We start from the raw sequence: 21,155 nt of genomic DNA on the forward strand, positions 1-21,155 counted from the left end.
GATCATGTGTTTTCAGGGATCTTATATTCTGATTAGACTGTTAAGATTGGTGGTCAGTCAAAATGGAAGGGCATCGGCCAGGCGTGGTGGCTCATGCCTGTAATCCCAGCACTTTGGGAGGCCGAGGCGGGCAGATTACTTGAGGTCAGGAGTTCTAGACCAGCCTGGCCAACATGGTGAAACCCCATCTCTACCAAAAATATAAAAAATTAGCCAGGTATGGTGGTGCATGTCTGTAATCCCAGCTACTTGGGAGGCTGAGGCAGGAGAATAACCTGAACCCGGGAGGCGAAAGTTGCAGTGAGCTGAGATCGTGCCACTGCGCTTCAGCCTGGGTGACAGAATAAGACTCCGTCTCAAAAAGTAAAAAGGAAGGGCATCACATGATATTGCCAAATGTGAGTGATTGATAGATAGTACTGTGGGAGTTTGAAAGAGCGAGAAATTACTGAGAGCTGTTGGAATCATGAAAAATTTCTTGTAGGGCTAGCATTTTTGCTGGGCCTTGAGGGATAAGGAAGACTCGTGAAGGTATAGTTTATATAAGCAGACAGAAGGGTATTGTGGGCAGGGATAATGAAGTGAGCAAAGGTATGGAGATAAAACATTGTTTTATATGAAGAACAATGAGGAGAGAAGTCTGATTTGTTCAAAATTGATTGAAAGATACAGTGATAAAGCTCAAAAGTAAGGAATTCTGGGGGCAATTTTGTGAAGACCGAATGCAAGTTGGCTAAGTGGGATTTCTTTGTTCTCTTGAACTTTTCCAAAATTTTTTCCCCACACAAGTAGTAGAGTTGTCTCTTCAAGCAGAATGTTGCTAAATAACCTCCATGTGTAAAAGAGACAAACGCGGCGTTGCCTTAATCAACTTGGGTTGAAGAATGTGGAGCTTACCAGGTTCCACCAGTGTAGCCACAGAGGCACATCAGTAGCACCCTTATTGCCCTGAGGAACAGTTTGAAGAATTTTGCACTAAGCCTTAAGAAGCTGTTAAAAGTTTTAGGGCAGGCCTAGAGAAATACTGGTAACATGATTAATCCACTGGTATGCAGGATAGAGTGGGAGGAAACATGGGATAAGAAAACGATTATAGTATTAGAGATTTAAGGACCTGAGTAAGGATGGTGTTAGTAAGAATAGAAAAGGAGAAAGAAGAATGGCCTTTCAAAGGGAAAGATCCATAATGTAGCAGCTATTATAAATGACATCACCATGGTTAAATATTTGAATAAACAATGGCTATGGATAATCATGTAGAACACTGGAAATAGAGAAAATATTAATAGCAAAGAATATTTAAGGCAAGGATAGTATGTAGAGACAAAGTGTGGAACATTTTAAGGCAGGAATAGTCAATATTGAATTCCACAGAGACTATGGAATCTAATTTTGATTTGAGGCATTGGTTGGTGAGTGCACAGTTTCTAAATATACAATAATATGGTTTCTCTGAATTGAGCATGATAGTAACTAGATTAAGATGAGTAAGATTTGAATAGAGAAAGTAAACTCAAGAAAAAGTCAAAGAAAAAAATGATGGCTCTGTTGATTAAATACAGGGAATGAATGGGAGGAACATGAAATACGAGTACTAAAAATGATCTTAGTGGATTTTTTAAAAAGTTTTTTTTTGTAAACTAAAGGTATGGAAACTAGTGGAGTATGTAAATGTGAAACCAGTAGTTATTCATTTACTCAAATATGTTGTGTTTGCTCTGTGTAAGGCATTGTGCTAGGTTCTATAAAAGATTCATAAAGATTCATTTTCAATAGCAAAAAAAACAGAACCTTGGAATAAACTTAACAGGAAATGTGTGGAGTTTATGAAAAATACTATAAAAATGAACAGAGGGATAGTAAGGGAGAGTTGATCAGATGGAAGAGCATACATTTTAAGTGGATGAAGAGACATTATTGAGATGCCAGCTTTCCACAAAATAATCGATAACCTTGGGGGATTGTTTTATGGCTTGACATAATGATCTTAATATTTGTCTGAAAAATTACTGGGAGATTGGCATAGAAAATTAAAAAAAAAAACAAATGGTGACGTGTCCTGCCAGATATTAAATTTGATGATAAGCTTATAACAGTTAAGATAACATAGAACAGGCCAAGGGATAAACAGACCAGAATAACAGAGTGTGTGTGTGTGTGTGTGTGTGTGTGTGTGTGTGTGTGTGTGTGTGTGTTTTCAAGTATAAAGAAGAGTGTAGTACATTATACAGGTGAGATTTTTAATTTGGGGAAAGGATGGATTAGTTAGTAAGTGATATTGGAGAAAAGTTACATTTCTGCTCCATACTATACATCAAAATAAATTCTAGATAATTTAAAATTTGCTATTAATATTAAATGAAACTATAAAGTACTAGAAGGAAATGTGAGTGAATTATTTTATATTTCAAGAGGACTTCCTAAGTATGACATAAAAAGTTAGAAACTATAGTTACCAATATGACAAGAATGTTCAAGAAACTGGTAGGACTTAACTACATCTGCATGAACACCTTTTGAATGTGAACAATCATTAAAAACAAAATTGAGAGGAAACAGCAAAAAACCCACAAACTATGTGATTAATAAAAGGGCTTTTAGTCTAATTGTATAAAGTACCCTTAATCTAATTACATAAAATAGTCTAAGAAACCAGTAAAGAAACGCTCTAGTGGGGAATGTGGGCCAAGCATAAGAATTAGTGGTTCCTAGAAGAAGGAACATAAGGAAAATGTTTACCATCACTACTAATAAAAATCTAAGTGCCATTTAAATCTGTTAAGATGGCAGATCATGATAAAATGAGCATTCGTATACATATATATATGTGTGTATGTATGTATGTATATGGCTATGAGTTTTAGTGACTTTCTTGCTGAAAGGCAATTGGGCCATAGTTACCAAAAGTCTTAAATGTGGCTACTGTGGGCACACTGCCTATGAGGTAGCCCTGCTACGCAAGGAACAGTTTAAAAAAAAAAGTCTTAAATGTAATAGATACTTGTATTTGAATGTTTACAGTAGGATTATTCACAATATCCAAAAGGTGGAAACAACCCGTGTCTATTAAAAGATGCATAGAAAACCATAATGTGGTATCTACATACAACTGAATGTTACTCAGCCATTAAATGTAATGAAAATCTAATACATGGTACAACATGGATGAACCTTGAAAACTTTGTGTTAAGTGCAGTAAGCCTGACATAAAGGGACAAATTTTGTATGAGCTCACATAAATGAAATATCTTGAATAGGCAGATTAATAGGTAAAGAAATATATGAAAGGTTACTGGGGGTTGGGTGGGAGAAAGAAGTTGGGGGAGGTTACTTAAAGGGTAGTTTCTCCTTGGTGGTGATAAAAGTGTTTTGAAAATAGTAACAATGGTTGCACAACATTGTGAGTATAATTAATGATACTGAGTTGTACATTTTAAAACGGTTAAGATGACAAATCTTACGTTTTATATATTTTACCACAGTAAAAGAGAAAAATGACAAAAAATAATGTCACGTTTCACTTACAGGAATTTGTTCTAAGGAATAATAGAGTGTATGTAAGGTCTTTACTACAGAGTTGGAAACAACCCAGATGTTTAATAGTAATGAATTGTTTGCTGTGGTATAGTCTATAACCATTGACAGTGACTGAACAAATATTTAATAGAATATTATGATTTAACAAGTGAAAATATAGGTAGTAAAACAGCATGCACCCATTTTTCATTTAAAAAAATTTATGCCTAAAAAAGACAATGTTCTATTAAAAATTGAAGTGGTCTTCTTTGGGTGATAGGATTACAGAGGTTTATCAAATGCTTGTTTATACCCTGAAAATGTAAAACTTAGGTTCTGGTTCTTTTTTATTTTTATTCTTTTAAGGTAAAAGGAGATTTTTGTCTTTAAATATTAATAAAGGGGTCACAAACAGTATATTAATTTTTTAAAAGGAAAAAACTTTTTATAATTGATTATACCGCTTGCGAGAGTTTGAGATACTCTTAAGAATTCAGGTTAAACTTACAAAATCATTTTTAATACAGAGATCAATGAAAAATTATCCAAAGACATTAGCTCCATGTACTGGTAATTGTTACCAAAAGCCTTAAAGTGTACAATTTTTTAAAATCAGTGTGGCAACTATCCCAGGAATTGGAAGTCTGTGTTTCTTCCCCTAAGATTCAGGTCATGTGTGTATATGTGTGTATTTTAATTTTTAAAGAACATAGGAGTAATGTAGACTCCTACTTCTAGCCATGACAGAGTCCCAGGGACTGAATTTACACTCCTGCTTCAAACTAGAAAAGCAGTCTACAAAATAAAATAATTGTTTATAGACATTGGATAATAACCAGTATAGGACACTAATCTTAGAAGGGAAATAAAGTGACTTCTGTAGCTCTTCCCACCTTATTGCCTAGAGACAGTTTTGGTACAGGGAAGGCAGACATACTGAGATCTTGGGCAGGTGGCATCACACTACATTGAAGAGATAGATTTTGAAGTACAAGGAGGCCAAGGTGTCTAGAATTTGTGGATAAAATTACTAGAGAGTAGTGAGATGCATCAGGACAGAAGTGATGAGATCCACAAATCTCCACAAAACTCAATGAACCTCTTGAGAGTCTGAGCGAATACTCATCTGTGCATGTGTGACAAGAAATTACCCAAGGCTGAAGAAAGAATAACTGGAAAGGAGCAGGTGTAGCGATCCGTGGAGCTCATGCGAAACATTTACACCTATACATTTCTCTCTTAGCAGGGCTTTCACTGCATTCCATGTTTTGGCAGTAAAGCTGAAGAACATTTAAGCCAGACCAATCAGGAATTCAGAGAAAGAATAATTCATTTTATCCCTGGATTATTATTGAATTATTTTATTCCTATTGTGAATAATTCTATAAACATTCAAGTACAGAATTGAAGACCAATCAGGAATAAAATGAAAGAAGACATAAATTACCATCATTAGTAATGCAAGGAGGAACATCACACAGATCCTAAATTTTATGGAAAATCAATAAATTCAATAACTTAGATGAAATGGACAAATTCCTTGAAAGTTAAAATTAAGAAGAAATAGATAACCTAAATGGTCTTATTAAAGAAGGTGAATTGTTAGATTAAAATCTTCCAGTAGAGAAACATCCAAGTCCAGATAGCATTAGTAGTATATTATATCACACTTTAAAGAAGGAATAATACCAATTCTTTACAAACTCTTCCAGAATATATAAGGTAACACTTCCAAACTAATTTTATAAGATTTGTATTACTATTACACAAAACCCAGGCAAGATACTACCAGAAAGCTACAGATCTAGATCCTTCATGAATATAGACACAAAAAATTATTAACAAAATATTAGGAAATGAATTATGTAATATATTAAAAGATTAATATGTCATGATCAAGTGAAGTTCATTCTAGGAAGAAAGGTTGGTTTAACGTGAAAATTAAGCAACATTATTTACTGTATTAACAGACTAACAGGAAAAAAATGTTTTCCTCAATAGATGCAGATAAAGCATTTTACAAAGTTTATCACCTGTTCATGATAGATTAAAACAATAAACAAAAGTCTTGCAAACTAGGAGTACAAGGGGCACTTTCTTAATCCAATTCAAGGACCTTTTAAAAAACCTGCAACTAGTGACTGAATGCTCTCACTTTAAAACTGGGAAGAAGACAAGACAGTCCCTTCTCAGATACATTTCTACATTGTACTGGAAGTCAATTGTCTGGAAGTCATTGTACTGCCAGTGCAATAAGGCAATAAAAAGAAGCTGAAGGCAGACGAAATGGAAAGAAAAATATTAAATCATCTTTAGTTGCAGTTGACATAAAAATCTAGTTAGAAAATTGGAGAGAATCTCAAATAAGCTACTGGCACTAATAAGTTTAGCAAAATTTTTTGTAAGAAACAAGGTCAGTATTCAACAACTAATTATATTTCTGTATACTAGCAACAAACAATTGGAACTTGAATTTTTAAATATGCCATTTTCACAGTATCAAAAAATGTGAAATATTAATAGTAATCATAGCAAAAATGTATAACACTTTTGCAGTGAACACTATAAGGCAATGCAGAGAAAAAGAATCTAAATAAATGGAGAGTTATATCATGTTCATGGATGAGACTTTATATTTTTAAGGTTGCAATTTTTTCCAGATGTATCTATTTATTCAGTGCAATATCAGTCAAAATTCCAGCAGGCTTTAAAAAAAACTTAAGTTGAATTTTCTAAATTGATTATAAAATGTATTTGCAAATGCAAAAGGATCTAGAATACAATGATTAAAACCGCAGGATAGTATTGTGAAGATTAGTATGTAGATGTATGGGACAGAAAAGAATCTAGTAGATTTACATAAAGATACCAAACATTTCAGTTGGGAAAGGACAAGCTTTTCAGCAAATTGGTGCTGGACCAGTCTATAGCCATATGCCAAAAATGAACCATATCTCTTCCATCACACAACATACAGTAATTAACTTGGGACATACTACAGATTTAAATGTAAGAATTATATGAAAATTCTAAAAGAAAACAGGATATTGGCTAGGCACGGTGGCTCATGCCTGTAATCCCAGCACTTTGAGACACCGAGGCGGGTGGATCACGAGCTCAGGAGATCGAGACCATTCTGGCTAACAAGGTGAAACCCTGTCTCTACTAAAAATCCAAAAATTAGCTGGGCTTGGGTGGTGGGCGCCTGTAGTCCCAGCTACTCATGAGGCTGAGGCAGGAGAATGGCGTGAACCTGGGGGCGGAGCTTGCAGTGAGCCGAGATTGCGGCACTGCACTCCAGCCTGGGCGACAGAGCGAGACTCCGTCTCAAAAAAAAAAAAAAAAAACCAGGATATCTGAATACCTTGGGTTATATATTTTAATATTTGATACAAAAGGCACAAGCTATAAAAAGAAAAATATAAAATTTGGACTTAATCAAAATTTAAAATATGTAGACTTCAAAGGATACTTTAATAAGCTGAAAATGCAAGCCACAGACCTGGAAAAAATATTTGCGAAGGATTTATGTCTAGAATATGCAAAGAACTCTTACAACTCAATAATAATGAGATGAACAATCCAAGTAAACATGGGCAAAAGATTTATAGATATACTAAAGGAGATATACAAATGGCAAATATAAGCTAATGAAAAGATCAAAATCATTAGTTATTAGGAAAATGAAACTTAAAACCACAATGAGATACTGCTCTTGTCCACTAGAATAGGTCATAATTGAAAAGATCAACCATTTCAAATATATGGAGAATGTCAAGTAACAAGAACTTGTATACATTGATAGTCATAATGAAGAATTACACAGACTGGAAGAGTCTTTTCTAAATATATACCTTACCATCCAACCCAGGAGTTCCATTCCCAGGTATTTACCCAAGAGAACTGAAAACATGTCCACAAAGTGACTTGAACCTGTATATTCCTACTAGCTGTATTTATAATTGCATAAAAACTTGAAATAACCTGAATGTTCGTCACCTAGTAAACTGATAAGCAAATGTTGATTTATCAATTTAAAGGAACAAATTACTGATGCATTCCACAACATGGAGGAGTCTCTAATTCCTTTTTCTTTCTTTTTCTCTTTTCTTTTCTTTTTTTTGAGACAGTCTTGCTCTGTTGCCCAGGCTGAGTGCAGTGGGGCACGACACAGCTCACTCTGCCTCCCAGGTTCAAGAGATTCTTGTGCCTCAGCCTCCTGAGTATCTGGGATTACTGGTGCACACCACCACACCCAGCTAAATTTTTGGAATTTTAGTAGAGACAGGGTTTTGCCATGTTAGCCAAGCTAGTCTCAAATTCCTGGCCTCAAGTGATCCACCTGCGTCGGACTCTCAAAGTGCTGGGATTACAGGCATGAACCACAGTGCCCGGCCTCTAATTCTTTATACTAAGTTATTGAAGTCAGATACAGTGGACTATGTACTGTATTAATCTTTTCCTATGACTATTCTATAAACGACAAAACTAATGACAAATCAGATCAGTGGTTACCAGGTTTAAATGGAAGAAATTTTATTATGAAAAAGCATGAAGGAACCCTTTGGAGGCATGAAAATGTTCTGTACCTTAATTGTGTAGATATTACATTATAAATTACTTTATGCATTTGATTTTTCAAAATTTATTGTAAAGTTCTGTAAATTATAAAGGTGATTTTATTTATTTATTTTTTTTTTTGAGACAGGGTCTCACTCTGTCACCTAGGCTGGAGTGCAGTGGCACAGTCGTGGCTAACTGCAGCCTCGAACTCCTAGGCTCAAGTAGTTCTCCCACCTCAGCCTCCTGAGGCAAGCAACACCATGCCTAGCTAATTTATTTTTATTCTTGTTTTTATCTGTAGAGACAGCATTTCAGTTTTGCCCAGACTGGTCTTAAACTCAAGTGATCCTCCTGCCATGCCTTCCCAAAGTGCTGTGATTACTGGTGTGAGCCCCTGTTTCTGGCCTGATTTTTAAAATCTGATGAGAAAATATATTGATATAAGAAAATATGAATTTTTATATGAATATAAACATGAATGCTTATATGAATATATTCATATAAGAAAATATATTTCTGCATACTTCTACCCAATCACGATAGTTCAATTATAATATGTGAAAAAGAGGGAACTTTTTTTTTTTTTTTTTTGAGACAGAGTCTCACTCTGTCGCCTGGGCTAAAGTGCAGTGGCGCAATCTCAGCTCACTGCAACCTCTGCCTCCCAGGTTCAAGCAGTTCTCCTGCCTCAGCCTCTCGAGTAGCTGGGACTATAGGCGCCTGCCACCATGCCCGGCTAATTTTTTGTATTTTAGTAGAGAAAGGGTTTCACCGTGTTGCCAGGCTGGTCTCGAACTCCTGAGCTCAAGCAATCTGCCCTCCTTGGCCTCCCAAAGTGTTAGGATTACAGGTGTGAGCCATCGCGCCCAGCATGTATTTTAATATATTACATTGATAATTTAATATTACATTGATTAATGGCTCACAGCTTCTTTGTATAAATGGCTCAAAAAGCCAACAACAGGGGAGTAGTTAATTCAGGTACATTCAAACAATAAAATGCTATATAAGAATTAAACATCAACATTTTTCTATGAATAAAATGGGCAACTTTTTACAGTATAGTCATATGTCACTTACTGACAGGGATACATTCCAAGAAATGTGTAGTTAGGTGATTTTATCATTGTGTGAACATCATGGAGTATACTTAAATCTAGATGGCATAGCCTCATGCACACCTAGGCCATATGATATCCTATTGCTCCTAGGGTATGAACTTGTACGGCATGTTATTGTACTAAATACTGTAGGAACTTGTAACACAGTGGTAAATATTTGTGTATCTAAACATAGAAAAAGTGCAGTAAAAAATATGGCATAAAAGATAAAAGTGGTATACTTGTATAGAGCACTTACTATGAATGGAGCTTTTAGAACCAGAAGTTGCTCTGGTCAGGCAGTGAGTAAGTGTTGAGTAAATGTGAAAATTTACATTACTGTAAATTTTATAAGCACTGTACACTTAGGCTACACTAAATTTATTAACTTTTTTCTTTAATAATAGATTAAACTATGCCAGTTACAACATTTGTATCAACTTTTTACTTTTTAAACTTTTTGATTCCTATAATACTCAGCATAAAATACACTTTGTGTAGCTATGCAAAAATAATTTGTTTGTATCCTTATTCTATAAGCTTTTTTCTAAAGATTTTTAATTTAGTTGTTTGTTTGCTTTTTAAACATTTTTGTTAAAACCTCATACACAGAAGCACACATTAGCCTAGGCCTAATAGGATCAGGATCGTTAATATCGCTGTCTTCCACCTCCAAATCTTGTCCTCTGGAAGGTCTTCAGGGACAAAAACACACACAGAACAGTCATCTCCTGTGGTAAAAATGACTTCTGGAATTCCTCTGAGGGACCTGTTTTACTGTTAACTTTTTTAAAAAGTAAGTAGAAGGAGTACACATTAAAATAACAATAAAAAGTATAGTAAATAAATAAACCAGAAACAGTCGTTTATTATCAAGTATTATGTACTGTGCATAATTGTATTGCTAGACTTTTAATGACTGGCAGTGCGGTAGGTTTGTTTACACAAACATGACCCCAAACCTGTGAGTAATGCATTGTTAAAACATAACAGTGACTACACCATCACTAGGTGATAGGAATTTTATGGGACAGCTGCCATATACTTGTTTTGTTATTGACATGGTGTGTGATCATATATTGAATTGGGAAGAAAGGACATAACAGCAAGATCTCACTTTTGTTGGGAAAAAATGTGGGATGGGGCATTATTTTATGAATGTATATATAGAAAAGATATTAAATATCAAGTGTTTATTGGAGTTAGGTTGGTAGCAGCTTTTCTTTTTTTAAAATAATAAAATATATTTTGAATTTTCTACTCAATATTTTTTCTCTCCATTGGAATATAAGCACCATGAGAATAGGAATTTTTGTTTCTCCTCTGTTGCGATATTGCAGATCCTAGAACAGTATTCCATAAATATGTGTATAATGAATTAATTTTTTTATCTAGCTGGACCTCAGACTAGATTTTTTTTCATTGATTTGTTTTTGTTTTAATTACATAGTTGTGATTACTGGAACTTTATGGTTCTATGTGGTGGAATAAGTTCTCTTTGTTAGTCATATTTAAATTACTCTAGACTTTTTTTTACACCACTTACAAACGTCCTTTTGGGTTTTTTTGTTTTGTTTGTTTGTTTGGTTTTTGAGACAGCCTCACTAGGACACCCGGGCTGGATTGCAGTGGTGTGATCTCTCTCGGCTCACTGCAATCATTTGAATCTCTCCAGGGTTCAAGCAATTCTCCTGCGTCAGCCTCCCCAGCAGTTGGGACTACAGGGTGTGCACCACCATACCCCACTAATTTTTTCTATTTTTAGTAGAGACAGGGTTTTGCCATGTTGGCCAGGCTGGTCTTGAACTCCTGACCTCAAGTGATCCACCCGCCTCAGCCTCCCAAAGTATTGAGATTACAGGCATGAGCCACCGCGCCTGGCCATAAACGTCTTTGGGGCTTTAATTGGAATTGCACTAGTTACGTATATTAATTTGGCATCTTTCAATTAGAAGTTTAAGACATTAGAATGAATTATTTAGATATTCCATATCTTTCAGTAAACTTCATGGCTTTTTAAATATCAGCTGGCGTATTACTTATTAAATATATTTCTAGATGTTTTAATTTTGTTGGTGTTGCTATCGAGATCTGATATACTTTGTGTTTTATATTTGTTCCTGGTTAATAGGTAAGCTGTTGTTTTGTATATTTTTTTATTAAGCCACCTTCCTGAAAATTATACATAGTATTTAAAAAATTTATAACTCAACATTAAGTTGATTAATGAAAACCAAACCTTTATACCTTAAACGATACATAATTTTGTGGTAGAGGAAGTGGCTGTTTTTCTCCATTTTTTTTCACCCTAATTGTTGAAAGCTTCCTATCACAATGGTCAAGTATTTATCATTTAAAACTGAGCAGACTCTCAATACTTTGGGGGCACATTTCACCTACCCCAAGGCATTAGGCAGAAATGCTGAGGAAGCTGGAAGACTTAGTACTCTGTTCTTTGGTCAGCAAGTGATAGTTGACCTATAATTAATTAATAGAAGAAGGAAGTACTCTCAGTGTTTTGGGTCTTTTATCAAACAGGTATGTTATTCTTAGGATCTTTTCACTGTTACTCCCTTTCTGCTATTCTAAAATATAATCCTGGAGTCTCTTCTTTTTGTTGCTGGTTGTCACATTTCTGCAAACAGCAATGTATTGTGTTAATAGTTATTTCATTACAGACATTTCTGCGTTTTGGTTTACATGTGTTCTTGCCTTATTTTTCTTAAATTATTTAAAGGAGAGGAGTATGTTTTGTGCAGAATTGTGTTGATCAGACGTGTACTAAGCAGTTACTGTGTACAGTGCAGCAGTGAAAGGGAATGATAATACTGAGCACTTATGTGCCAGTTCTGAACAGTATCGATGCGGAAACCAAGAATCTGAAAGAATAGGTGTCTTGTCAAAATTTAGGAAGCTATGGAATGTCCATTTGATTCTAAATTCTATAGTCTTAAGCCCTGGCTACACATTAGAATCATCTGGAATATTTAACAAATCTCATAGTTTTATTGTACTCCCCCTCACCCTCACCTTTCATCTAGCCAGGAAATTGATTTCTACAGATAGGGCCTAAGCATCTGGGTGTGTGGGAGAGACATATAATTTTTTAAAGCTGTTACATGATTCTAATTTGCTGCCTTGGTGAAGAACAGGAGTCAGCAAACTATGCCCCATAGGCCAAATCCAACCAATCTCCTGTTTTTGTACTGCCTTGGAGCTAAGAAGGGCTTTAACTTTTTTAAATGACTGGGAAAAAAATCATGACATGAAAATTCTATGAAATTCAAATTTCACTGTCTGTAAATCAAGTTTCGTTGCAACCAAAGCCTTTGGTAAATTTTTGTTGACATGTCAAGAAATAATTGTTGAGCAACTTTTTCATCACATACACATAAAGAGATAAAGAAATATTTGGGCTCAGTCCCTTCAAATTGCAAATCATTTCTTCCCTTTCTGTTTGTTCTTTCGATGAAAGTGTAAATATATTTTTTTATAACTCTTAATATTGGAGAGGAGAAATTGCTAGGCCTAATTCAGTAATCATTTGAACATGTAAGGTCCTAGGGGTTTGTGTCTTCGTGTTTTATATTGACCAATATTAATTCACATGAGACAGTATTCCCAGGTTGGTGGTGTTGGCTTAAGGGTTTAAAGTAACATCGCCATTCTATTTCATTTCCAAATCAAATGTTAATGGATTCCTATAGGTAAGGTATCCCAAGGAAATACTTATTTTCAAAGTACAGATGCTCCTTAACTTACAGTGAGGTTATATTTCTAAAAGCCCATTGCATGTAGAAAATATTTTAAGTCAAAAATTTATTTAATAAGCCATACCCACCAGACATTATAGCTTAGCCTAGCATATCTTAAGCTTGTTCTTGTTTTTATTTGTATTATTTTATTTTAGTCTTAACTTGTAAGGATAGGAATTAAAATAATACCAAATGCTGTCATTTTCCTCAGCAAATTTTAGGCATATGACCTGGGAAATTGTGAACTACTTTCTCTTTTGGCTTTTGGACTTCCTGTTGGGTTTTGGGTATAATATGCTTATAAAGATAGATTTTTATTAATTGTGATTGGACTTCTTACTGAGAGCACTTTCTGAAAATGTTAATTTTCTTAATTGCATACCAGTGTTAAATAATGAGATCACAACTATTTTTGAACAATTAGAGGTTATGTTCTCTTTAAGAACTGATTCTGTAGTCTCTATCCATAAATCTTTCCTCACCTTGTTTAGTGGTAAGGTCAAGTAACCATTAAGTAGACTGAAATATCCCCAGATCAGGCATTCATTCACCATCTTTTAGTATTGCAGTGGAGCCACAGAATTACTAGGAATGGCAGAGAATGGCACTACATGAAGGAATGACAGGAGACTGACAGGGTCAAGAGAAAATGATGGAGGGTTTTAGAAACCCAAACCAAAGGAAAGAAAGAAAAAAGAAGGTAAGGAAGTGGGGATTAGAGGGTGTTTTTTGGTGGTTGTTTTTGTTTTGTTTTGAGACGGAGTCTTACTGTGTCTCCCAGGCTGGAGTGCAGTGGCACGATCTCGGCTCACTGCAACTTACACCTCATGGGATCAAGCGATTCTCCTGCCGCAGCCTCCTGAGTAGCTGGGACTACAGGCGCCTGCCACCACGCCCGGCTAATATTTGTATTTTTAGTAGAGACAGGGTTTCACTATGTTGGCCAGGGTTTCACTATGTTGGCCAGGCTTGAACTCCTGACCTCAGGTGATCCACCCGCCTTGGCCTCCCAGAGTGCTAGAATTACAGGCATCAGCCACCACGCCCGGCCAGGATAGGGATTTATTGACTCACTTAGGCATTTATCTGTTCTCAGCATAGCTGGATCATTCTAGATCTATTCTAGAGGTCCAAGCATTAACACTAGCTCATCCTGTTTCTCAGATCTATTGTTCTCTGTGCTGACTGGCTTCATTCGTAGGCCTTCTGTAGTAAGAGGAAAATGGCTTTGGGTACTTTTGACTTCCATGTCCTTAACACCTATGTCTCAGACAGAGATAGTATCTTTTTTGATAATTCTGGTTAAAGCACAAGAAGTTCTTTCATTGGTTCAGCTTGGATTATTCCTGGTCCAATCAGTGGGGTCTGATGTTTGGATTGGATGGGTGTGAATGGTGTACCCACCTCCCTAATGGGGATGCAGTGAAGTATAGGGTGGTTAACCATCCCTTATCACCATCCATACCCTATGGATAGATTTTCTGATAAGAAACACAGAAGAAAGGAAATGATGCTAAAGAGAGTAAATAGTTAACTGTTAAAAGACCAAAACCTAGTACTTGTGTCATCTAATAGAGAATCCTATGTACATTGTACACTTCCTTTTTTTTAGAAAAATTAAAATAATTTTAAATAGTCTTTGTGAAAGCTTCAAAGATTCTTCCAGGCCTTATGTGTTTGTCCTTTCAGCTTTTCATTATAACTTTATGAAAATATTTTAGCCACTCTTTTAACAATTTATTGAATGTCTGCTATGTCGTTTTACCTGCAGTGTCATTTAATCTTTTCTCAAGTTGATAATTTAAAAAATAACTTTCTAAGTTTTATTTTTATTTGATTATGTACAATATATTCAATTCATATTTGTGGGGTACAGTATGATGTTTCAATACATGTATACACTGTATAATGATCAAATCAGGGTAGTAGTGTATCCATCACCTCAAACATTTATCATTTCTTTCTGGCAAGTACATTCAAAATGTTACATTCAAAATCCTCTTTTCTGGTTATTGTGAAAAATATACAATGTAGTATTATTGTTAATTGTAATCACTGTACTTGTACTGTGCAACAGAAAACTAGAACTTATTCCTCCTATCCATCTGTTCTTTTATACCTATTGACTAACCTCTCTCCATCCAGTCTTTGGCCAGTCTCTGGTAACCACTATTCTACCCTGTACATCTGTGAGAGCTGCTTTTTTAAACTCCGTATATGGGAGAAATCATGTGGTATTTGTCTTACTGTGTCTGGCTTATTTCATTTAATATAATGTCCTCCAGGCTTATCCATGTAGCCAAAAAGGACAGGATTTTATTCTTTCTTTTCTTTCCTTTCTTTCCTTCCTTTCCTTCCTTCCTTTCTTTCCTTCCTTCCTTCTTTTTCTCCCTTCCCCTCTCCCCTCCCTTCCCCTCCCCCCTCCCCTCCCCTCCCCTCCCCTCCCTTCCCTTCCCTTCCCTTCCCTTCCCTGTCCTTTTTTTCTTTTCTTTCAAGACAAGTCTCACTCTGTCGCCAGGCTGGAGTGCAGTGACACAATATTGGCTCATTGCAACCTCCGACTCCCTGTTCAGGCAATTCTCCTGCCTCAGCCTCCCGAGCAGCTGGGATTACAGGCACACACCACCATGCCCAGCTAATTTTTGTGTTTTTAGTAGAGACAGGGTTTTACCATGTTGGCCAGGATGGTCTCCATCTCCTGACCTCGTGATCCACCCACCTTGGCCTCCCAAAGTGCTGGGATTACAGGTGTGAGCCACCGCACCTGGCCCTTATTCTTTTTTTAATGGCTGAATAGTATTCATTGTGTATCTATATCACATTTTCTTTGTCTGTTCCTCTGTTGGTGGGCAGATAGATTGATTCTATATCTTGGCTAATGTGAGTAGTGCTACAATAAACAGTGCAGATATCTCTGACATACTGATTTCATTGTCTTTGGATAAATAACTCAATGGGATTGCTGGATCATATGGTAGCTCTACTTCTAGTTTTTTGAGGAACCTCCACACTGTTTTCCATAATGGCTGTACTAATTTACATTCTCATCAGCATTGTATAAGGGTTCCCATTTCTCCACATCTATGCCAGCATTTGTTTTTTGTCATGATACTGGCCATTCTTATAGGTGTGAGATGATACATTATTGTGGGAAGATAACTTTATTGTATAGAACTAGATTTCTAGACAATTTATGGAAACTGATGAAGACCATGTTATATTTTAAAATATATTTTAACCAAGGCTCACAGGGTATTTCTCTACCTTTTTTTTTTTTATCTGAAGTGCTATCAGATTTTTTTTTTGCTCTGTTGCCCAGGCTGGAGTGCAGTGGCGCTGTCTCGGCTCACTGCAAGCTCCGCCTCCTGCGTTCACGCCATTCTCCTGCCTCAGCCTCCCGAGTAGCTGGGACTACAGGCGCCCGCCACCACGCCCGGCTAATTTTTTTTTGTATTTTTAGCAGAGACAGGGTTTCACCGTGTTAGCCAGGATGATCTCGATCTTCTGACCTCGTGATCCGCCCGTCTCAGCCTCCCAAAGTGCTGGGATTGCAGGCGTGAGCCACTGCACCCGGCCAGTGCTCTCAGATTTTTAATTCCTATGCATAGCATACAGTAAACCTCATCTGGAAGTCCCATACACGGCACAGTGCAGGCTGCTCAATTTTTCTGCCTTGGAAGGATGAAAAGCTAAGTTGAAAAATCATTTTATCAGTTTCACTCCAGTTGTTACATTTTGGCTTTAGAAATATCCTTCATCTCCTGCATCTCATAATCTCCTGCCTTTGAGGTTGTGTCATAGATATTATATCACCCAAGTGCTTTCAATTTGAACTTCTTCAAGAGGGGTGCCTATGTCTCAGAAGTTTCCCGTAGGTCCTATTTTACAGTTATTATTTCAGTTCCTTCTACGCTAGCTTGTTGAAGAAAGTTCTCTAACCAAAGGCAATTCTAATTGCCTTTGAAACCAGTACTAGTCAAGCTGTACAGTAGTTTTATGAAGACTGAGCACTCAACCTGGAGTTCCTTAAAAAGAAGACACAACAGGAAGGCCCAAGATACCCTTTTGCCCTTCAAAATGAACTGCCAGTGCCCCTGCTTTCATGCCTTGAGTGAACATATTCCATTAGAACAAGACTGTACTTTTGGTTTTACTTAAGAATAACTCTCTGAGAAATGTGTTGTTTAGCAATATTCCTTTCAAATTCACAAGCGCTAATTGAAATTACTCTCTATGCTATCTTTCTAGCAAGACTTAAGGTTTCATGAATAGATAGTGATCCTCTTCTCATGTTTCAGGGTTCTGTCTTCATACTCTGTTCTCCTTCCTTTCCTCCATGTCTTTCCCCTTGACTGTATCACTTAAAAAGCTATTCTTTAAAATTAGTGATATTGCTTCTAATTTATATATTTCATCTCCTTAACCGTACTGTAAACCTCTCTGAGTCAGGAAGTATATGTCTTGTATTTATTTTGTATTTTCACACAATGGTCACTTAGTTCAAATAATTCATAAATTTTTGGCATCTAGGTTAGAATGGCACAAAATAAGGCATAGTTCTTGTCTTCAAAGTGCTTTTAACCTTTAGAAGAGATGTGACATGCAAGTTTAATATGCAAGAGTTATTAAAGAGAGCACAATCAGTTTCTCCTCAGGAAAACAGTGGGGACAGATGGTATTAAGAGCCATGCCTTAGTAGCACTGGATTATTGGGATATTTTAATGTGTGTATTTGCTGGATCACAGCATTATAAAGGAGACATTTAAAGAAAACACTAATGATCGTAATCCCTTCTATGTATAATTCTTGGTGGTGGGCAAAACTCATTCCCGTTGTTATTTCATTTTCGTTTCATTACCCTTTGAATCAACGGATCACATTTATTATGAACATATAAAAATCTCACCTATTTAGCTTTCAGAGTTTTGTTTTGTTTTTCCTAATTGCCTTGATGATCAGAAAACAGAAATATCAGAGTCTTGACCTCTCTCTGCCATGATCTTTTGTGTTGAGTTTAGCACTCTTGAAGAAAGGAGAGATTTGTTTATAGCATCTGCCCTGACAAGTCAGTACTGATTCTCTATCCTGGTTAACCAGATTTATTAGTGACTTTCTTATAATACTATTGTAACATTACTTTTGCTTTCCTTCTCCACCTCATGCAAAGAGAAATGAAGTAGGAACTTTTTGCTTGTTTGACATATTCCTGATTTTTTTGTAGGTTTCTCTGAGGTGATGTAGCTTTTTTGGACAGTACACCTGCTATGATATGTAATAGTTTGTACTGTTTTGCTAAGTGATTTTTCTTCCTTTAACAGAAGTATATTTTAACTGTTTGGTTTCTTTTTTCTTTGTGTTCCAATATTCTTTGAGGAGAATAGAAAATGGAAGAAGAAACCTTAGTAAATAAGTTTTTTTTGTGTTACCGAGAAACTGTTTAATAATAAATGTTTCCCGATCCACTTGATGTCCACTTTTTTAAAAAATGGCCTTTATTGAAGGCAAAATTTGGTTTCGATTTTGCTTAGATGAAATTGCATTATTTTGCTATTATTCAGGAGACTGTTTCTCACCTGGTTGATCATTTCAACTGTTTCTTTCTGTGCTTCAAATCATGAGAATCCCATTTGCCCCACCGCAGACTTGGCATGTCGAATAAATGTGATGGCAGCAATTAACATCACGATTGCAATGAAAATGTAAAAAGGAAATAGTTGCAAAGTTGTAGTAGGGAAAACAAAAGCTGGAAAAGCAGCTTTTTATAAATAATTATGAAATTATTTTCATTTTTCCTACATAGGATTGAAAAGTAAACAAATTCTCTGGTTATTTTACATGTTGATTGTTTCTGCCATATAGCTTAGGACTCTATATAGTTGTGGTTAGTTTTGTTTTTACATTTTAAGAACAACACAATAAATTGGAGTCATCAGTGTTCTACATAGATGAAAAGAAATTTATTATTAGAAAAAGCCAAAGGACTTAAAATGTTCCCTTACTTACACATAAATTTAAGTATATTTTTTCCTAGCTAGTAGGTCATTGTGTTATTATTGTGTGTTGCAGAAAGTATTTCACTTAAATTTGAAAATAATTATTAACTGGCTAGTGTTTCATTTTTTATTTAAAAGAACATTATCTAAATATTTATATAAAGCAAAGCAGTCATTCTTTTCATCCTAAGTGTTTACTAGTTTTCATTGTTTAATATTGATTTTCCTTTTTGTTGGTATTAGATTCTTATTACAATGCGTTTGCTCTTTGCCCTGTGATGTTGCTTTGTTGGCTTGTTCATCTACGTTGTAGACCTAGATGACCTTCATGTTCTAGTCCTTTGAGTTTTTTACTAGGCTGAAACAAAAGAAAGCGATTGGTTGCTAGTAAAAGAACTGAACAAAGGCAGACAGGGAGGGTTTTAAGCATGGGATACTGCCTTAGAAAACAGCAGGTATATCTCAGCTCGGTCTATGAAAACCAGCTTCTATAAGGCTAGGCCACCACACTGTCATTTTTTTATTATTGGCCATCCCTTAGTCTCTGTACACTGTTGAAAAAGTGATGATTCATCACAGGATAGTTAGAAATAATTGGCCTGTTCAAACCCTTTACAGTTGGGGAAGTTGGTTTTCTACATCATATAAACCTGATGTCCATTATGCATGTATATTTGGGACACAGTCTGCCTTTTAACTGCACTGTGCTTTACCTGTATGTTTAATTCAGGATGAGATTGGTTCCTAAAGCTTTTAAACAAAGACTTTTTCTTTTTGCTGTTTTTATCTTTTAATATCAATATTGAATGAAAACATATGGGAACCATTCAGAGATGTTCAGTAGACATTAAAATAAAAAGGAAAATGTTTGACAGTTTCCCTGGGTAAGCTGCGAGGCATTTATGTAGCAAAATGATGTATTAAAAGCCAATTATTAGAATAATGATCAACATAAAACCTGGGCTTTATACATCATTAGAAGGTTGTCTGTTGTGGTTGAGGGTTTGGGGCAGTATACATTTGAGTCTGAATACTCCTCCTTATAAGTGACTCATTTTGTGAAGAGAATACAGAAAAATCTTCAAAAACTTTACTTACCTTTCCCATGATTGGTGTTCGTTTTTTGTTCAGGTCCTGTTTTTCTCATAGTAAAATAACTCAGTATATATTTTTGGCTTTAGATTGTTACTAATTTAATCTAGTTTCTCAGAATATTAAATTTATATTTATATGTTTTATGTGCCATTAAGTATTGTTAGAGAATTTGTATAGAGGTTAATAAAAGAGAGTTGCCCAAATTCTAACTACATTAATCTGATATTTAATTAGTTGTGTGTTAGAAGGAAGATAAATCAAATTTTACTTATACCTATTAATAATGGTTACTGGGTGAATTCTGGTAAGGTATTATGTAAAGGCCAGAGAAAATAAAATATTGATGTTTAAAAAGTTTGTGGATAAGAAATCTTTTATTTTTCTTGCCACTTAAGATTAAACCAAAAGATAATTTTTTTACCCTCACTGAATAAACTCATTTAAATAGGGAAAATCTGACCGCATTTCATCCTTCAATTCCTAAGATAAAGGAAAAGAAGCAGCAGGAGTAGCAAAGGTTGGGATAGAGATGGCATACTTTACGTCATTTCTTTCAAAAGGGATGGAATTAAACAAAAAATTTTTTTTCTAGCTAAAAGGCCATCATTTTGTGTTTGTTATTGTTAAGAAGCCACCCAACTACGATTAAAAACATTTAATATGCAATAAAATATTGACGTAAAAGAAATAGCCAAGAGATAGATATTTGTTAATGTGGATATACTTTCAGATTTTTAATAATACTATTGAAATTTTATAAAGTATTGAATAAAATTTCACTTTTAAAAAATAAAAATTCATTTAACAATAATTTCTGAGATTTATCTAGGCCTCTTACCACACTTGGACCTCTCATTTAATCAAAGGATTGATATACACAATAAGTGTGCACATTACAATAAGGTATCTGGGTCAAAGATATTTTTCTTGTTTTTTATTTTGATGTTTATTTAAGAATTTTGCTTATAATATGCCAAACCTTTAGCTATTTAGATAAGTCCCAGTCATACCTAAAATTTTTACTTAGAGCTGAGTATTTGGTGTGGTATTGACCTGGGTAATGAGCGTATAACAAAATGTTATAAATGAAAAGCTATTTCTGACTTAAACTCTTGATTCTTCTACATTAGTG

The 21,155-nt window shown here is 35.3% G+C and overlaps 1 protein-coding gene across 19 annotated transcripts in view, besides 2 other annotated features; it reads left to right on the top strand.

Annotated features, from left to right (window-relative positions):
* ZCCHC7 (zinc finger CCHC-type containing 7) overlaps positions 1–21,155 on the top strand; it is a 237,983-nt gene that overhangs the window by 100,017 nt on the left and 116,811 nt on the right. The gene's annotated exons all lie outside the window — the stretch shown is intronic.
* Positions 6,019–6,520: an enhancer, noted in NCBI's record as "NANOG hESC enhancer chr9:37226199-37226700 (GRCh37/hg19 assembly coordinates)". NCBI's record gives its function as "activates a minimal SCP1, AML or CMV promoter by ChIP-STARR-seq in primed H9 embryonic stem cells {active_cell/tissue: H9 hESC(primed)}" and the evidence as "EXISTENCE:reporter gene assay evidence [ECO:0000049][PMID:30033119]".
* Positions 19,329–19,623: an enhancer, noted in NCBI's record as "tiled region #4537; K562 Activating DNase matched - State 5:Enh". NCBI's record gives its function as "activates a minimal TATA promoter and a strong SV40 promoter by Sharpr-MPRA in K562 cells {active_cell/tissue: K562}" and the evidence as "EXISTENCE:reporter gene assay evidence [ECO:0000049][PMID:27701403]".

Source organism: Homo sapiens, chromosome 9, assembly GCF_000001405.40.
Source record: "Homo sapiens chromosome 9, GRCh38.p14 Primary Assembly".
Classification (NCBI taxonomy): domain Eukaryota; kingdom Metazoa; phylum Chordata; class Mammalia; order Primates; family Hominidae; genus Homo; species Homo sapiens.